Below are 20,457 nucleotides of genomic sequence, written 5' to 3' on the forward strand. Positions count from 1 at the left end.
ATGCAAAGACAGCACGGTGGTAGCCATCTCAGGCATGGCTGTGGAACCTGCAGGGTGGGGAGAAAGCCCAGCAACCACAGGCGGTGGTGACCGTGGGCCACAGAGGGATGTGTGCCTGCCACCAGCATTTGCTACGGCTGTACCAGAGGCTCTGAAGGAGAAGGCAGGAGCTGTGGTGGGGCCTGGAGAGATGCTGTGCGGAAGGAGAAAGGTAATATTTGTAGGCCATGACTTTGCCATTTCTTAGCCATGTGATTGGGGGGCAGTTAATTTAACCACCACTCAGAGCCACAGCATCCTTCACTGAAAAGAGGAGTTAATAGTAATTTCTCCTCCAGTGTCTCTCACACTTGACTAATAACAACAATCACCTGAAGTGCTTGTTAAACATACTGACTCCCGCTGTGGGTTGTGATTCTGTAGGTCTAGGGTGGGATTCTTAACACCAGACAGAATTAAGAAACACTGTGAAATGATGCCCAGGTGCTAGTTAACTTCTCATTGACTTGGTTTTAGGCCAATTCCTTGCATAAAAGAGAATCGGAGGAGCTGTAATGTTGATTATTTTACTTTTCTTTTGGAGCATGGAAAGAACCAAAGTCTTTGCAAAACCACTGGTTATTTGAACTCAAAATTCATGCCCAGATCGGGCCCACAGATATAAATCCTCAGAAAAAAAATGTGGTGAGGAATAGGAATATGATACTCCATCAAAAATAGCACTTCCTGTTTGGGGAGTTAGGGCACGTGAGGTCTTTCCCTCTCATGCTACATACAGAAGGCTACTACTCTCTTTGATTGGATTTCTCCACATGCAAGATGGAGAGGTCAATAGTTGCTCCCAAAAAGAAGGTATTAAATAAATACTGTACTCCTTGGGACTTCGGGGCAGCAGCAAAATAGTAAAGAGAAGTTCTAGGATGGAAATTAGACAATAGCAACAAACTCTGTACATCTACCTCCAGATTCCTTGGTAGGTGAGTCAGTGCTCTTGAGCTCATATCATTCAAGCGGTTTTCCCCCTCCCAGAAACAGATCTGGGGTTCATCTGATTAGGAGGTAATGAGAGGCTGATCCTGAAGATTTCTAGCAGCTTCTGGAAACTTCTCTAGCTAGCTCATAGTGCTGTCACAAATGACAAGGTGCACGGCCAGCAGATGCACTGGGCTCTTTGAATCTTGCCTGGAATGTCAGATGCAGCCACCACCAGACTCCCCAGAAATCTACCAGCTAACCCATGGGGAAAGGCTTTGAGAAAGAGTGGAAAGGAAACCAAGTTTTGTTTTGTGATACAGATAATGGAGTCTTTGCCCAGAATTTTTCGAGAAATAAATTTTTTAAAATTAGCCCTAAAGACATAAACCTAACTAGATCTTTAATGTAAAAATATATAAAATCTTTTTTATCTTGGTATACTTAACTAGCATTTCAGTTTTTGTTCTAAGAACTATAAGGATTAGAATGCTCCTGACAAGAGTATCATTTTTTCATGCTTTCTGATGGCTATTGAAAAATTGCATTTGTACCCGGGCCTGGTGGCTCACGTCTGTAATCCCAGCACTTTGAGTGGAGGCCGAGACAGGTGGATCACCTGAGGCCAAGAGTTCGAGACCAGCCTGGCCAACATGGCAAAACCCCGTCTCTACTAAAAATAACAAATAATAATAATAATAATCCAGATGTGTTTGTGCACACCTGTAATCCCAGCTACTTGGGAAGCTGAGGCATGAGAATTGCTTAAACCTGGGAGGCGGAGGTTGCAGTGAGCCAAGATTGCACCACTGCACTCCAGCCTGGGTGACAGAGTGAAATCTTGTCTCAAAAAAAAAAAAAAAGAAAAAAGAAAAGAAAATAGCATGTATGTGTTCAATAACATTTATTGAGCATTTATTAAGTGTCTGGTATTTTATTGAGCATCATCTCAATTCTCAACTGAAAGTTGAAGCTCAGCAAGCCTGGGGAACTTCCTCAAGATCACCCAGCCTGTGAATGGTGGAGTCCAGATCAGAGCCCAAGTTTATCTAATACCACATCCATAACTACTCCATGACTATTGGTCCCTTTCACATTCTCAACATAAATAACGTTCTGCTCTGTTCCTTTCTACTTAAAAGAATGCATTTTAAAAATCTAATTCAAAGCTGGTTAACTTTATTACTGGGTTCTCTGACAAGTGGGCAAGATAAGTAAAAATGATAAATATGAATAATCATGAGACATGATCTTTCCTACCATTTGTGGTACTTCCACTTTTCGTTCAGCGAGATTATAAACATCAGGAGCCCAGAGTAAATTAAAAACTCCTTTAATTCCAGACCACGTGATTACAACTCCCCATCGCCAATTATATTCATAATTTGAATGCATCAAAATAGGGCTCACTAACAAAATAGTAAGCAACCTGTGGAGAGGGAAACATTAAAAATAAATCTCACCTTGTTTATTAATGTTATTCATAGTTGAAAGCAAGTACTAAATACTAAATTTAATATAAAAATTTTCGGGAAAGAAAAAAACAATGCAATTTACTGTTAAGTCCTTCCAATTTTCTGAGACTAACCAAATCTACTATTTAAAGTTTGCACATAACACTTAAGTCTTGAAAAATAATGCTAGACCTTCTAAACAAATATAAGGAATTATCATCAACACTACTGTATACTGTTTGGAATTGGGTAGTAAATGCTCACAGGGAAACCTCTTCTAAGAATGCTGACAAGCTCATCTACTCCCTGAAAAGCCATACATGACTGGATTCAAAAATTATAATGGGGGCATGTGCAGATCATGACTCAAATGTAAAATTATTTTGGGCACATTAATAAACAATAAATAATAAAAAAAGTTTATTGAGCTCCCACAAGAATCATACGCTAAATGTCACACAAATAATTTTAATTTGTGCCTTCTTGCCCTCCAGATTACTTTTCTATACGACCCTGTGCCAAAATTTAAAATCTATCATTAAGGGACTGGCAGTGAGAGAATATCAATACTGTACTTCAAATGATTTAGAACAAATGAAATTTCAGCGAAAGTGAAAACAGATGTGTTCTTAGCCTCAAAAAAAAATATTGTGTGTCAGTTGATCAACTATAATTGCACAAGTCAATTTAGAGAATTCCTGTCATTGAGAAACAGAAAATCTACAATTACCACCTATAATGTATATAATTATTTGGGCAAACTCCTCTGCCTTGCATTCAAGCCTTTTGCAACGTGACTCTTACCAACCTTTTCAGGCTTACTAAATAACCTTTCCCTAAAATATCAGAGTCCAACCAAAATAGAAACAACTTATGTCATTTCCTGATATCAAAAACAGGGAGGCAGAACAGCAAATACTCTGAAGTCAGCCTACCTGTGTTAAATCTAGCCTTGCCTTTTACTAACTGCATAACTACATAAGCAAGTTAATCTCTCTGTCTCAGCTTCTTCATCTGTAAAATGAAGATAATAACAATGGTACTTGCCTCAAAGGATTATTGTGGTAATTCAATTAAATAAGGCAATACTCAGGGCTTAGAATGATGCTTTGCAGGTGGTCAGCACTCAATACATTATCAATACATAATTATGACTATATATGATACATATGTATCCATACAAAATATTCAATCAGCAATGCTTACTATGTTCGTGTATTCCCATTTCTCTATCTTGGCTCATCCTCTCTGAAATATTTTTCTCTAGTCTTTACAGAAAACCCACACACACTTCGAGGGCCAACTTAAGGATAATTCCCTCCATTAAAGCCTTTCCTCTAGTGATGTGGAACCATCAGTTCAGCAAGATCTCTGGCACTCACTAGCCATTTGACCTTGGAAAAGGTCCTTTGCTTTTCTGGGGGTTGATTTCTTTAAAGTGTAGAAAATAACAGAGATAAATAATTGGAGATGATAATTCTTATCTCCTAGTGTTGTTATGAAGATGAAATGAGATAATGGATGTGTACCTGAGTCAAACATTGTGCTAAAGCCATGTTTCTTTCTTTATGACCAATCTCAGCTTACACATGAGCTCTCGTGGCAGAACGAAATGTTAACTTTCAAATGGAATAATTTAGTCTTTTCTAGTTTAAAGATTCTTTGGGTATAACTTAGTCTTGCCTATACAGATAGTCAATTCAAAGTTCCCTATAAAGAGCAGTTTCTCCTGTTTTCCAAGATGCTCCCCCTGCCCTGCCTTTCCAAGACAGGGTCTGGGTGTAGAAGGAAATTCACATAACTCATGGCATCAGGGAAAGTGTTGCAGAGAACATCTATTGATTTAGGTGTTTTGTGTTACTTGTGTTTGGCCTTTGGCCCCTGTTCTTGAGACATCTACTGGGAAGTATTCTTGGTCTATTTTTTTCAGCAAGGCCAATGCATGGTAATTGCTCAGATGACCTGTCTCCTCTGCCAACTAAATGACCACCACCACCCAGCACTGCAGATCCCTTGAGGTCTGCTGCCACTCCCATTTGACCCTAGGTTTGAGTGGTCTCCCATGCAGCCCTCCAACATGGGCTCACTTTGGTGACCCTTCTGGCAAACTCACCAAATATCTTCTGAATTCACCACAGAGGAGGAAAGAACTTCAGATTCCTTCCATGTCAGAAACAGATTAAGGAAGGATCAAAAGTACAATCTCGGGCCTACTGTCTACTTACATAGGTCAACCCACCATTTCTACTCAGTAGCCTTAGGCCCATGTCACTCTAGGAGGCTATATTTTCTCAGAGTTCCAAACAGGAGGTATAGGTGGGGATATGATAGGGGTGGAGCAGTCTCCTCACCCTAATCTCAACCCCCTCTATAATCAGCAATGTTCTACGTCCCCTTCCTGTTTGTCATAACCTCCATCATCTTCACCATGGCATAAAATAAAATTATATAATCCGAATCTACCAAGCTTGTCTGTTGATATGAAAAAAGGGTATTTTCAGAATTTAACAAAGTCTTCTTCAGCAAAGCCTGGCTTTCAGAACTGTTGTCTCATTGTGGGGTCTCAAAAATATTCAGAAATCAGGAGCTACATATAAACTCTTTATTTTGGAATTTCATCATAAAATCTTAATCCTTTTTTAGCTGAATAGAAGGAAGTTCATACATAAAGAAGTGTAATACGAAAAATAAAACACTTTAATATATTGCAGGAACACCACTCCTTTTATAGTGGATATTGTGGTGTTCCATTTAGACATCCTCTTCAGGGCCGATAGCCCATCCCCCAACTGGTAGGGATTTGAGGATTTAAGTGGGCCTGCATGGCTCTGCCTCTCACTGCACATTGCTCTGGGCCACAGGGACCTGCCCTACTCAAAGTTGTTGCCTCTCAAGGGATAGCCCTTGGCCAATGACTGCATTATGCAGAGATACAAAGGCCTGTTCCCTTGTCTCAGTGTGGGATGACTCTGAAGGGCTCTTCCAGCTCCACAGTTTCCCAAAGCTCAGGGGAGCCTTGGATGAAACTGTGCTGTAGGTCAGCTTGTCCCCTTGCCCAACTCTGCCTTCCACACTTGCCCAATAAACCTTCTGCCAACAACTGTCCCAACCCTCCCTCTCAGAATCTGCTTCCAGGAAACCCAACCTATGACTCCTTTGAATTTGTAAATCTAGCACAGAGCAGGCTTTGCACAGAACCCCGCAGCTAGCTATGAAGCCCCATAACACGTTTCTTGTTCCTTCTCTCTTTCTTTTTAATTTTTAATTTTTATTGTTTTTTTTAGACAGAGTCTCACTCTATCACCCAGGCTGGAGTGCAGTGGAGTGATCTTGGCTCACTGCAACCTCTGTCTCCCAGGTTCAAGCGATTCTCCTGCCTCAGCCTCCTGAGTAGCTGGGACTACAGGCATGTGCAACCACGCCCAGCTAATCTTTGTATTTTAGTAGAAACAGGGTTTCACCATGTTGGCCAGGCTTGTCTTGAACTCTTGACCTCACATGATCCACCTGCCTTGGCCTCCCAAAGTGCTGGGATTACATGTGTGAGCCACCGTGCCCGGCCCCATACCACATTTCTTAAGCCTCCCATATGAAGCTTATCTTTCCTTATGTTATAGTTATTTATATATTTATTTTATCCCTCCAACTAGAATATAAACTTCTTGAGGAGAGATGCTGTGTTTTATGCATCTCTGTGAACCTTGAGACTTCAAACAGCAAGTCCTATTGTATTCACACGGTCACTCCTTTTTAGAGAAAGAGATGTGGGGTTGCTGTTTGCCTGGGATGGAGGTGGGAGTGAGGGATGTCACCAGAGACCAGTGAAAAAAATGTACCATATTGTTTGGCTTCTAAGCTGAAAGACTACTTATTTTTTAAGGCAAGTTTGCATAGCTGTACAACCAAGACCTGGAAGTAGAATTAGCTGAATCAGCATCCTCTGACCTCAGACTAAAGAGTTAATAGGAGACAGTGTCTCTGTTCTACCCTTAGTTCCAGCTCTTCACACTGGGGGGAAGCTTGTCAGAGAAATGTGGGGTCCTGCTGATGAATGGAGTATGGATGGGAAGTCTGACAATCTCTCAGGAGTATGACTAACCTGAGGGACTTAGATACAACAGAGTCCTGACTAGAGCCCCTGTCCAGGTGACAGCCTTCAAGGACATCAGCAACTGGTCCCAGAACAGGCTTGACCAGATAAATTGATGATCACTGGTCCCTTCCATTGCCACCACCAGTGACCAATCATACATGAAAAAGATCAGCCACTCCCACCCATTCCCCCAAGGACTGACCAATCACATAAGATACACACACACACAGACACAGACACACACACACACACACACACACCCCCAACTGTAACTAATCCAACAATCCTGAACTGACCTGGGAAGTCACTAGATTGGAATGAATTTACCTGATTATATGTAAACTAAATCCACCAGGATCCAGCTCACAGCTATGTAGTAAAGCCAGTTCTAGAAATAAAATTTCATTTTTTTGAGTACTAAAAATCTGGGCACCGTTATAATAGGAATTAAGTTATATGCCCATTACAACTCTATAGGAAAAAAATTCATTAAGGTCATCGTTCAAGTCAGAAACTAGCCCCTGTGCCCAATGACTATTGAAAAACATTCAGAGCTCCCTAGAAGTGTTGACTGCAACATCAAAAAGGCCAAATTAATCTTTGTCAAGGTGGAAATCAATTATACTTTTTTTTCTAATTTTGTACCTCATCAAAGCGAAATCCTGAGGTCTGGATTTTTAAAAATATCTTTTAATGCGTTTCATAATGTTTATTTTTCTGATTATCATAAATGCAAGCAATCTCACAAATTGTAGCTTTCAGTCTACCTTAAAAGATTATTAATTTTAAATATTCTTTAAACATTTTATACATAGTGGAGCTTATTAACAGATTAGGAACAATTTTCTATTAATCTTAAAAATACACACGTCAAGGGTAAGTGATTTTATAAAAGGAAAGTACAAGATTTTCTTGTCCATAATTCACACCCCTCAGGACCTTTGGATTCTTTCTAATTTTTCATCTCTATGAATACAACTACAATGAAAATACATTGAATAAATCATCATCCAGATTTTTAAAATAATTTAACAGCTTCATTGGTATACAGAAATCTGCACGTATTTAGCATATATAATTTGATGAGCACATTATCCACTCCACATTTTAAATCACATTCTTAGAAGTGGAATACAAACATTTATAAGATTCTTACAGTTATTTAGTCATTCAACAAATATATATAAAAATTTTATTCCAGAATCTAAGAATGTTGTAGAGATCAAGAGAGCTGATCCCTTCCCCCAGGGATTACATTTCACTGCGGAAACAAACATTAAATCATTAACTATACAAGTAAGTATTCTATAATACTTGCAGGGAGTGCTAAAAGGAGAACTATACAGTGAGAAAGAGTGTGGGAGAGCGGTGCCTCCCCTGGTGGAGGCGGACAGCAGGGACAAGAAGCAGGGAGGCTTTCCCTAAGCAAGGATCGTTTGTCCTGTAATCTGAAGCCACGGGGGGCCAGGATGAAGGGCAGCCAGAGGATAGCCTTGGAAGGACCTGAAGAAACAAGTATCTGAGGAACTTTGTCACACGTGTTTGGAATGAAGACAGCAAGCAGAAGAGGGTCCTTTGAGCCAGCTGATGAGGGGGGCAGGGCCAGTGTTCCACAAGGTCTTTATCACAGTCTCACAGGGCTGAATGCATGGTTTTTAGGAACCACTGATTTTACCACTTTTCCTTTTATTTTCAAAAATTTCTAGTGAGTTTGAAACTTAAAAATGTTTTAGCCACTCATATTTCTTCTTTTATGAACTTGTCGTATCCTTCATAATTTTTTTTTAACGCTCCCTCAACCCAGCTTTTCCCAACTCCAGGAAGGACCGGGAAGAGAAGGCCAATCTAGTTACTTTATCTTGGTTTTAAATGATAAAACAATACATGAATACTGAAAAAACCTCAAACAGTAAAAAAGTATATTAAAAATGTTTTAATTTTTAATTTTTGTGGGTACAGAGTAGGTGTGTGTATTTATGGGGTACATGAGACATTTGATACGGGGCATGCAATGCATAATAATGACATCATGCTAAATCGGGTATCTATGCCCTCAAGCATTTATCCTTTGTGTTACAGACAATCCAGTTAGACTCTCTTAGTTATTTTTAATTGTACAATTAAATTATCAACTATAGTCACCCTGTTGTGCCATCAAATACTAGGTTTTACTCATTCTATTTTTTGTACCTGTTAACCATCCTCCACTTTCCCCCCTTATCCCCCTACTACCCTTCCCAGCCTCTGGTAACCATCCCTCTACTCTCTACCTCCATGAGTTCAATTGTTTTAATTTTTACATCCCACAAATAAGTGAAAACATGTGAAATTTGTCTTTCTGTGCCTGGCTTATTTCATTTAACATAATGACCTCCAGTTCTTTCCATATTGTTGCAAATGACAGGATCTCATGCTTTTTTATGGCTGAATAGTATTCCATTGTGTATATGTACCACATTTTCTTTACCCATTCATCTGTTAATGGACACTTAGGTCGCTTCCAAATCTTGGTTATTGTGAATAGTGCTGCAATAAACATGGGAGTGCAGATACTTCTTTGATATACTGATTTCCTTTATTTGGAGTATATATGCAGCAGTGTGATTGCTGAATGATATAACTCTGTGTTTACTTTTTTGAGGAACCTCCAAAATATTCTTTGTAGTGGTTGTACTAATCTACATTCCCACCAACAGTGTATGTGAGTTCCCTTTTCTCCACATCCTTACCATCATTTGTTATTGCCTGTCTTTTGGATAAAAGCCATTTTAACTGGGATCAGATGATATCTTACTGTAGTTTTGAGCTGCATTTCCCTGATGATCAATGACGTTGGGCACATTTTCATATACCTGTTTGCCATCTGTACGTCTTCTTTAGAGAAGTGTCTACTCAGATCTTTTGCCCATTTTTTAATCAGATTGTTAGATGTTTTCCTATGACTTGTTTGAGCTCCTTATATATTCTGGTTATGAAACTCTCACCAGATGGGTAGTTTTCTTTTCCTTTTCTTTTTTTTTTTTTTTTTTGAGATGGAGCCTTGCTCTGTCACCCAGGCTGGAGTGCAGTGGCGCGATCTCGGCTCACTGCAAGCTCTGCCTCCCGGGTTCATGCCATTCTCCTGCCTCAGCCTCCCGAATAGCTGGAACTACAGGCGCCTGCCACCACGCCTGGCTAATTTTTTATATTTTTAGTAGAGACAGGGTTTTACCCTGTTAGCCAGGATGGTCTCGATCTCCTGACCTCATGATCTGCCCGCCTCGGCCTCCCAAAGTGCTGGGATTACAGGCGTGAGCCACCGTGCCTGGCCGGGTAGTTTTCTTTTTTCTTTTTTTCTTTTTCTTTTTTTTTTTTTTTTTGAGACAAAGTCTCACTCTGTCGCCCAGGCTGGAGTGCAGTGGTGCAAACTCAGCTCACTGCAACCTCTGCCTCCCGGGTTCAAGCGATTCTCCTGCCTCAGCCTCCCAAGTAGCTGGGATTACAGGCATGCACCACTGTACAGATGGGTGGTTTCCTCCCATTCTGTGGGTTGTCTCTTCAATTTGTTGATTGTTTCCTTTACTATACAGAAGCTTTTTAACTTTATGTTATCTAATTTGTCCATTTTTTCTTTGATTGCCTGCACTTGTGGATTATTACTCAAGAAATCTATGCCCAGACCAGTGTCCTAGAGGGTTTCCCCAATGTTTTCTTGCAGTAGTTTCATAGGTTGAGGTCTTAGATTTACATATTTAATCCATTTTGATTTGATTTTTGCATGTGGTGAGAGTTAGGTGCCTAGTTTCATTCTTTCACTTATGGATATCCAGTTTTCCCAGCACCATTTATTGAAGAGACTGTTCTTTCTCCAATATACGTTCTTGTCACCTTTGTCAAAAAAGAGTTCACTGTAGACATATGGATTTATTTCTGGGTTCTCTTTTCTGTTCCATTGGTCTATGTGTCTGTTTTTATGCCATTCCCATGCTGTGTTCATTACTATAGCTCTGCAGTATAATTTGAAGTTAAGTAATGTGATTCCTCCACTTTTGTTTTTTTTGCTCAGATTACCTTTGGTTATTCTGGGTCTTTTGTGTTGCCACATAAATTTTAGAATTATTTTTCTTATTTCTGTGAAGAACGTAATTGGTATTTTGATAGAGGTTGCATTGAATCTCTAGATCATTTTAGATAGTATGGACATTTTAACAATATTGATCCTTCCAATTCATGAACGTGGAATGTCTTTTTTTTATCATGAAGGCATGTTTTTATTATGAAGGCATGCTGAATTTTATCAAATGCTTTTTCATCATCAATTGAAATGATTACATGGTTTTTGTCCTTCATTCTGTTGATATGATGTATCACATAGATTGATTTGCATATGTTGAACCATCCCTGCATCCCTGGGATAAGTCCCAGGGATGATCATGATGAATGATCTTTTTAATGCATTGTTGAATTATGTTTGCTTACATTTTGTTGAGGATTTTTACATCAATATTCATGAGAGATATTGACCTGAAGTTTTCTTTTTTTGATGTGTCTTTGTCTGGTGTTGGTATCAGGGTAATACTGACTTCTTAGAACAAGTTTGGAAGTATTTCCTCCTCCTCTATTTTTCAGAATAATTTGAGTATAATGGGTATTATTCTTCTTTAAATGTTTGGTAGAATTCAGCATGGTAGAAGCCATCAGGTCAGGGCTTATCTTTGCTGGGGGACTTTTTATTACAGTTTTGATCTCATTACTTGTTATTGGTCTGTTCAGGTTTTGGATCTCTTCATGATTTAGGTAGGGTAGGTGGTATGTGTCTAGGAATTTGTCCATTTCTTCTAGGTTTTCCAATTTATTGGCATATAGTTGCTTATGGTAACCAGTAATGATCCTTTGAATTTCTGTGGTATCAATCATAATGTCTCACTTTTCATCTCTGATTCTATTTATTTGGATTTTCTCTCTTTTTCTCTTAGTCTAGGTAAAGGTTTGTCATTTTTGTTTATCTTTTCAAAAAACCAACTTTTTGTTTCATTTATATTTCCTATTTTTTTCATTTCAATTTCATTTATTTGTGCTCTAATATGTATTATTTCTTTTCATCTACCAATTTTGAGTTTGGTTTGCTCTTCCTTTTCTAGTTCTTTAAGATGTATCATTAGGCTATTTGCTTGGAGTTTTTTTTTTTTCTTTTTTGATGTAGGCACATGTAACTATAAATTTCCCTCTTAGTACTGCTTTTGCTGCATCCCATAAGTTTTGGTATGTTGTGTTTCTATTATCATATGTTTCAAGAAATTTTTCAGTTTCCTTCTTAATTTCTTCATTGATGCACTTTCATTCAGGAGCATTTTGTTTAATTTACCTGTGTTGTATAGTTTGCAAAATTCTTCTTGTTATTGATTTCTTGTTTTATTCTGGAAAATGCTTGATATTATTTCAGCTTTTTTGAACCTTTTAAGACTTGTTTTATGATCTAACATATGGTCTGTCCTTCAGAATGATCCATGTGCTGAGGAGAAAAATGTGTATTCTGCAGCTCTTGGACAAAATGTTCTGTAAATATCTATAAGGTCTATTTGTTCCATGGTGCAAATTAAGTCCAATGTTTCTTTGTTAATATTTTTGTCTGGAAGATCTGTCCAATGGCAAAAGTGGGGTGTTGAAGTCTGTTATTATTGCATTGAGGTTTCTCTCTCTTTGGCACTAATAATATTTGTTTTATCTGGGTGCTCCAGTGTTGAGTGCATATACATTTAAAACTGTCATACCATCTTGCTGAATTGACTCCTTTATCATTATATAATGACCTTCTTTGTCTCTTCTTACAGTTTTTGTCTTGAAATGTATTTTGTCTGAAGTATAGCTACTCTTGCTCTTTTTTGGTTTCCACTGGCATGGAATGTCTTTTTCCATCCCTTTATTGTCAGTCTATATGTATCTTTATAGGTGAAGTGTTTTTCTTGGAGACAACAGATCATTGGGTCTTGTTTTTTATTATTAATTCATCCACTCTGTCTTTTGATTGGAGAGTTTAGTCCATTTACATTCAATGTTATTATTGATAAGTAAGGACTTACTGCTACTATTTTGTTATTTGCTTTCTGGTTGTTTTGTGGTCTTCTCTTTCTTCTTTCCTTCCTTCCAGCCCTTTCAATGAAGGTGATTTTCACTGGCAGTATGATTTAATTTCTTGCTTTTAATTCTTTGTGTATCTGTTGTATTTTTTAATTTAAGGTTACCATGAAGCTGGTAAATACTATCTTATAACCCATCATTTAAAATTGATGACACTTAACACTAATTGCATAAACGAAGAAATAAGCAAAAAGAAGACTGATAAAAAACGATACACTTTGACTTTACCCCCCTGCTATTTAACTTTTTGTTGTTTCTTTATATCTTATTGTATGTACTGTCTATGTCTTGAAAAGTTGTTGAAGTAATTACAACTACAACAAATGTAGTTTGTCATTTTGCATTTCTACTTAGGAGTAGTTTACACACCACAATTACAGCGTTTTTTAAATATTTTATTTTAGGTTTGGGAGTACACGTGAAGGTTTGTTACATAGGTAAACACGTGTCACAGGGGTTTGTTGTACCTATTATTTCATCATGAAGGTATTAAGCCCAGTACCTAATAGTTACTTTTTCTGCTCCTCTCCCTCCTCCCATCCTCCCACCTCAAGTAGATCTCAGTGTCTGTTGTTTCCTTCTTTGTATTCGTAAGTTCTTATCATTTAGCCTCCACTTGTAAGTTATAACATGTAGTGTTTGGTTTTCTGTTCCTGTGTTAGTTTGCTAAGGATAATAACCTCCAACTCTATCCATGTTCCACAAAAGACATGATCTCAGTCTTTTTTATGGCTGCATAGTATTTCATGGTGTATATGTATTACATTTTCTTTATCCAATCTGGCATTGATGAGCATTTAGGTTGATTCCATGCCTTTGCTATTGTGAATAGTGCTGCAATGAACATTCACGTTCATGTGTCTTTATAGTAAAATGATTTATATTCCTCTGGGTATATACCCAATAATGAGATTGCTGGGCCAAATGGCAGTTCCTCTTTTAGCTCTTTGAGGAATTGCCAGACAGTGTTATAATTGTCCATGATTTTCCATGTACCCACTATTACCAGTAAGTCTGTGTCCTGAAAATTTGTTGAAATTATCATGTTTGATAGGTTCATCTTTTAGTCTTTCTATTCAAAATGTGAGTAGTTTACCCACCACAATTACAGTGTCATAGTATTCTATGTTTTTGTGTGTACCTACTATTACCAGTGAGTTTTATATCTTCTGATGATTTCTTATTGCTCATTAACATCCTTTTCTTTCAGATTGAAAAACTCCCTTTAGCATTTCTTCTAGGAAAGGTCTGATGTTGATGAAATCCCTCAGCTTTTGTTTGTCTGGGAAAGTCTTCATTTCTCCTTCATGTTTGAAGGATATTTTCACAGATATACTATTCTTGGGTAAAAGTTATTTTCCTTCAGCACTTTAAATATGTCATGCCACTCTCTCCTAGTCTGTAAGGTTTCCACCGAAAAGTCTGCTGCCAGACTTTTGCCTTTTGTCTCCTCTGACTGCATATTTTCAAATAGCCTGTCTTCAGGCTCACTAATTCTTTCTTCTGCTTGATCAATTCTGCTATTAAGAGACTCTAATGCATTCCTCAGTATGTCACTTGCATTTTTTATTCTAGAATTTCTGCTTGATTGGTGCTTCATTGTAAGTGGCTTCTTTTCTGCTTTTAGGGTCCTTTCTTTATCCGTGATCTTTGGCAGTTTGATTATTAAATGCCTTGAGGTAGCCTTCTTTGGGTTAAATCTGCTCAGCGTTCTACAACCTTCTTGTACTTGAATATTGATATCTTTCCCTTGGTTTGGGAAGTTCTCTGATATTACCATTTTGAATAAACTTTCTACCCCTATTTCTTTCTCTACTGCCTCTTTAAGGCCAATAACACTTAGACTTGCCCTTCTGAGGTTATTTCCTAGTAGGTGTGCCGCATTCTTTTTTATTCTTTTTTCTTTTGCGTCTTCTGACTGTGTATTCTTGAATAGTCTGTCTTCAAGCTGACTAATTCTTTCTTCTCAAGCAATTCAGGAGAATCGCTTGAGCCCAGGAGTTCAAGACCAGCCTGGGCAACACAGCAAGACCCTGTCCCAAAAAGAAATAAAAAATAAAAAGTAGTATGAAAAGCCTTAGAAATCTGCCTGGTGTTCTATTCTATTGTGATTACGCTGGTATTCAAACCATAAGACAAAGTTCTTCCCACTCTTTCCTCCTTTTTCCACAGGCAGGAAAGCCTCTCCCTATGGCCACCACTACCACCAGTCCCAAGGGAGTTCTGCCACACCACCACCCATGTTCACTTAAGGCCCAAGGGCTCTTCAAGCCAGCTTTTAATGAATGCTGCCAGGCCTGGGACTCACCCTTCAGGGCAGAGGTCTCCCCTCTGGCCCAGGGCAAGTTCAAGAATGCCTAGGCCTGGACTTGGGACCCCAAAAGCCTACTTGGTGTCTACCCCACTGTGGCCAAGCTGGTACCTGAAGCCAGCACATCTGAGTCTCACCCAAGGCCCACAGCATACCACCTGTGTATTGCTGTTATTTACTCAAGGCCCAAGAGCTCTTTAGTCAGCAGGTGATGAATCCTGCCAGGACTGGGTCCTTCCCTTCAAGACAGCAGTTTCTCTTCTGACCCAGGGTGTGTCTAGAAATGTTGTCCAGGAACTAGAGCCTGAACTGGGGGCCTCAAAACTCTGCCCAGTGCCCTATTCTGCTGTGGTTGAGCTGGTATCCAAGATGCAGGACAAAGTTCTCTTCACTCTCCTCTCCTCAAGCAGAAGGAAGAAGTCACTTTCATTGTTCTGAGCTGCGCTGCTTGAGGCTGTGGGAGGGGTGGCACAAATACTCCCCAAGCCACCCTGTCTGCTGTCTCACTAGGTCACGCACTGCCCCGGTCCACTGGCTCTGAGACCAGCACAGCATCAGGACTTGCCTAAGAATTGCAGTCCTTATATCCTAGGCTGCCTTCCAAGTTCACTTAGTATCCCACAGCTTGCTGAGAAACTCAAGTTTCTACCACGGGAATGGGTGCTTCCCCTCTGGCTAGGGCTGGTCTAAATGTTCCCTCTGTGGGCAGGTGCTGGCTGAGTTCAGCACAGTTTTGCTTTCCACTGTCACAGGGCAGCACTAAGTTCAGTGCAAATTCCCCCAGTTGCTGTGGTCTCCCTTCCCCAAGTGCACAGATTCTCTCTCTGCACCACACAGCTGCTTTGTGGTGGGGAGGACTGGGGAGGGGTGGTGTCAGCAATCCATGACTGTTTTTCCTACCCTCTTTAGTGCCTCTTTCTGCAATATGAATTTTAAAGTAGGTACTGTGATCACTCACTTGATTTTTGGTTCTTATGAAGGTGCTTTTTTGTGTGCAGATAGCTGTTAAAATGTGGTGTTCCTGCAGGGGGGTGAGAGGGATGATCAGTGGAGCCTTCTATTCATCAGCCATCTTGCTCCATCCTCAGTAAACATTTTAAAAGCTAAAATGCCCTGACTTTATTCCCCTTCACAAATCCCATTCCCCAGAGGAAAGTAACCACTCTTACGGGGCTGATGTACATCCTTCCAGGTGTTTTCTTAACTCACAAAGGTATTCATACGTGGGTTCTTTCTCTTACTTTTTTTCATACTTACCTATCTATCCTCATCTCCTGCTCTCCCCTCTCTCTGTTTCAGTGATCAAGGCCTCCCTGCTGTTTATTGCACATACCAGGCTGGCCCTTCCCTTAGGGCATGTACAATTATGAGTCTTTCCCCCCATCTGCCTGGCTCCCTCACCTCTTTCATATCTTTATTCAAATGTCACTTTCTCATTGAGGCCTACCTTGCCCACTGGGTTGAATTGCAGCTTGCCATCTAGTGCTGGCACATCCAACTTCCTCACCATGCTTTATTTATTTTCATAGTCTTTATTATTTTCTAATATATTATATTCTTCATTTAACATGATTTTGGTTTTTTTTCTGAAAACCCCAATTACATTGTAAACTCCATGATGGCAGAAATTTTCATGTTTTCAGAGTATTTTGTCCACTGAGGTGTCCTAAGTGCCTGGAACAATGCCTGACATTTAGTAGGTGCTTGATAAATATCTGCTGAAAGAATTAACAAATACAGTGGTGGTTTGTTTTCATGTTTTAATTTTATTAATAATGTTTTGTTTTAAAACCTACTGATAATTTCTTTGGGGAATCCTTTCATTATTCTGAAGCTTCAAAAGTTGTGTCTTATCCTGAGAAAATAAGGATAGCCACAATCATGGCAAAAACTCACTTCACTGAGCATTTACTATGTGCCAGGCATGGTGCTAAATTCTTGTACTTGCATTACCTCATTGAATCCTCACAGCAACCCTCTGAGATGATCTATTATTATGCCCAGTCTACAGATAAGTAATTGAAACTTAGATTAAGTAATGACCCAAAGTCACATAGTTACATAGTCACAAAGCTAACAAGTGTGGGAGATGGAATTTGGATCCAGAAATAAACATAAACACCTAAATTATACTAGGGAGCAATGACTAACTTAAAAACTGTTTTTTAAGAGTCCAGACAGAGAGGCAGAGAAAAGATGATAAGATGGCTACTGATTTCACAGCTGCATGGGAACAGCAGGTAGGCACCAATTTAGGCCCCACTCTGATGAGGTGGGGGATAGGGGTAGCACTCAGGGCTGTGTACACAGCCTTCTGTGTGAGAGTGACTATCTGAGTTGCATGCAGTGCCTTGCGTTAGCAGACTCAAGTTTCCATGGGAACATACTATAAGACAAGCTACCCTGGCCACCATCCTGAGTGAAAATGACAGTGTTTTTGGAGACATTGCCATAAATTCTTATGGAAGACACAACTACCATCAGTGGGCAATGCCATTCTAGAATAAGGATGCTCATGGAGTCAGGTTTAAATACCAAATTTGCTCTTATGAGTTGAGTGACTCTAGGCAGGTTTTTACATTCTCTGGGCTTCGTCTGTGAAGTGATGCAATAACACATACATCACAAAGTGATATTCACATCAATGGCATACAGTACATGGTAACTGCATTATCACAGCTATTGGTACATAGCATGATAGTGGCTTTCTCATAGCTATTGACGATAATAAATTATGGTGAAATTCAACAAAAATGTTAAGAGCAATTAATCTGGTCCAGTGATGCTCAACTTTAACATGCATACAAACTACCTGAAGAGCATGTTAAAACTATTTCCTGGATCTCATATTTAGAGATTTGATTCAGTAGGTTGAGATGGGCTCATGAATATGCATTTCTGTCTAGCTTATGGGTGACGCCGATCCCTCTCATTTTATGGATAAAATCTTGAAAAATAAACACTTACCCCAAGTTGCACAGCAAGCTATTGTCAAGGCCTTGATAACAATGCCGGTTTCCTGGCTCCATGTCCAGAGCCCTTTTTGCTGTATGCCACTGCTTCCTAATTCTAATTCTGGCCTTGAGAATCTCAGTTTAGTAAACAAACTTTAAAATATTATTCTTACCTTACCAAATTCACTGTTGTAAATAAAATGAATATGAAAGGTATAGTGTGAAATTCATAGTGGCTGAGTTCTCCACATCCAATCACAATGCCAAAGAAAGCATATATTAAATGTTCATATACAGATGAAAAAATTCTTAAGAACCTAGGATGAATGAAATAGAAATGACATTTTAAGCAATCATCTTAAAAATATATTTTCCTTTTCATATAAAATCATATATCTTATATCTACCATGCTGTCTTAGCAGAGGCCCTTGCCTTCATCTCTGTTATAGTCAACATTTAAAAGAATTTTGTTGGATCTAAAAGCACCCAGTTCCATATTTTTCATTACCTTCATCACACCAATACCCATGGGCTGCTTCTCACAGTAGAATAATAAGAGCAAAGCAGAAAAATGAGGACCTCCCCCAGCTGATGATTTATCAATTTCTCTGGGATTCAGTGGGAGCATGTCAACTCTTGGGCCTGCTACTGCTAAACCCGGAGTTGTAGTTGCTACTAGTAGGTACCTCGGTAACTTTGACTTTGCAATAGCTAATACGATCATCTCAATGCTCTCTGCACAACCTCTCCCTCTGTGACTCACATGTACTCTTCTATTTACTTTGAAAGTCTCTCCTGTCTGCTTTCCTGTCTACTGAATTCCTAAAAGTCTTGTAAGGCTAACTCTAATCCCATGTTGTCCATGAAAGCATCTTAAGCACCCTAGGTGGAGGTGGTCCTGCTCTGAATTCCTACGGTGCTGACTGTCTGCACTAATGTAGTTTTTAAGCAGAAGAAAGCATTAGAATCACCCAGACTGAATTCTAAAAATGGACAGAACCACCCCCAGAGATTCTTGCTGAGTAGACCAGAGCATGTGGGTTAGGGCAGGGGGCTGAGGCCTCAGTAGAGTACATGTTCTGTTCTGTATGGTTCCATGTGGTAGCACGCCTGGGTCAGACCCAAGTGTGACTTCCACAAGCAGATCTCAAGGCCTGCCTCCTCTAGACTCTCTCTCTTGAGACTTTCCCTTTCAGCTGACTGGGTAAGTGCATCTGCCCCACAAACCATTCTCCTTACAGGTGGATCTCAAAATTTATGCTCGGAAAGAAGCATAAGGAAGCCTCGTTTTAGCTGCAGACATAAATCATGTTCTTCGATACACACAGCATTACCCCAATCAAGGAGACAGTTTGGTTCTCCAAGTGATTTCTATCTCTTAATTCAATTGGTTCTGAACCCCTACTGGGGAAGAGTTTGAGTGAGGGGACCTCAAACCCCAGTGCATAGTTTTCAAAAAATTCAGAAGTCATGGAATAACTGACTGAGTTAAGTACTTTTTTTTTTTTTTTTTTTTTTGAGACAGAGTCTTGCTCTGTCACCCAGGCTGGAGTGCAAGTGGTGCGATCTCGGCTCACTGCAAGCTCCACCTCCCAGGTTCACGCCATTCTCCTGCCTCAGACTCCTGAGTAGCTGGGACTACAGGCACCCGCCACCACGCCCGGCTAATTTTTTGTATTTTTAGTAGAGACAGGGTTTCACCATGTTAGCCAGGATGGTCTTGATCTCCTGACCTCGTGATTCGCCCGTCTTGGCCTCCCAAAGTGCTGGGATTACAGGCATGAGCCACCGCACCCGGCCTGAGTTAAATACTTTTAAAAAAATGTCATGTGGGCACAATGGCTCATGCATGTAATCACAACATTTTGGGAGGCTGAGGAGGATAGATTGCTTGAGCCCAGGAGTTTGAGACCAGACTGGGAAACACGGTGAAACCCCATCTCTACAAAAAATACGAAAAATTAGCCAGGTATCCTGGTGCATGCCTGTAGTCCCAGCTACTTGAGAGGCTGAGGTGGGAGGATCGCTTGAGCCCTGGAGGTGGAGGCCATAGTGAGCTTTGATAGTGCCATTGCCCCTCAGCCTGGAAGGCAAAGCAAGATCCTGTCTCAAAAGAAATTTTTTTTCAATTCTCTCTACAGGACCTAAAAAATGCATTATGTATACAGTAGAACCTGAATAAATATGTAATTATTCACACATATTGTTACTTTCTTATATAAACATGTCTGCCACTTAACAAGGAGCACTTCTGAGAAGGGACTTATTTTCGTGGCCCCAGACCTAAGATGCAACATCCAGACCACACCAGACATTAAGAAAGGATTGGTCGAATGGGTGAAAAAATAAACAATTGAGTGAATAGAAAGTAATTTATAATTATGTCAACAGACAGCACCACTGAGCTCAGGAAACGGTCTAAATTGAGCATTACACCAAGTAGATGTTCTATGAACTGGTTATTCCCAAGCTTCTGGATTTAAAAACACAGTAATGTTTCATTCACATACGCACAAAACTGGAATAGTTTTAGGTGCCCATGTTTTTTGTTGTTG

General features: G+C 39.6%; 1 protein-coding gene across 15 annotated transcripts in view; it reads right to left on the reverse strand.

Annotated features, from left to right (window-relative positions):
* SLC9C2 (solute carrier family 9 member C2 (putative)) overlaps positions 1-20,457 on the reverse strand; it is a 102,613-nt gene that overhangs the window by 54,648 nt on the left and 27,508 nt on the right. For 14 of the 15 annotated variants that reach the window (XM_047418170.1, XM_017001074.2, XM_047418169.1 and 11 more), the window contains 2 exons: positions 18,075-18,218; positions 2,233-2,401 (listed from right to left, as the gene is read on the reverse strand). In XM_047418170.1, coding sequence (XP_047274126.1) covers positions 2,233-2,401; positions 18,075-18,218 — 313 coding nt within the window. Of the gene's footprint in view, positions 1-2,232; positions 2,402-18,074; positions 18,219-20,457 lie in introns of those variants that run through there. The other variant, XM_017001076.2, reaches the window with a different exon arrangement.

The sequence above is a fragment of the Homo sapiens genome, chromosome 1 (assembly GCF_000001405.40).
Source record: "Homo sapiens chromosome 1, GRCh38.p14 Primary Assembly".
NCBI classification, from domain to species: Eukaryota; Metazoa; Chordata; class Mammalia; order Primates; family Hominidae; genus Homo; species Homo sapiens.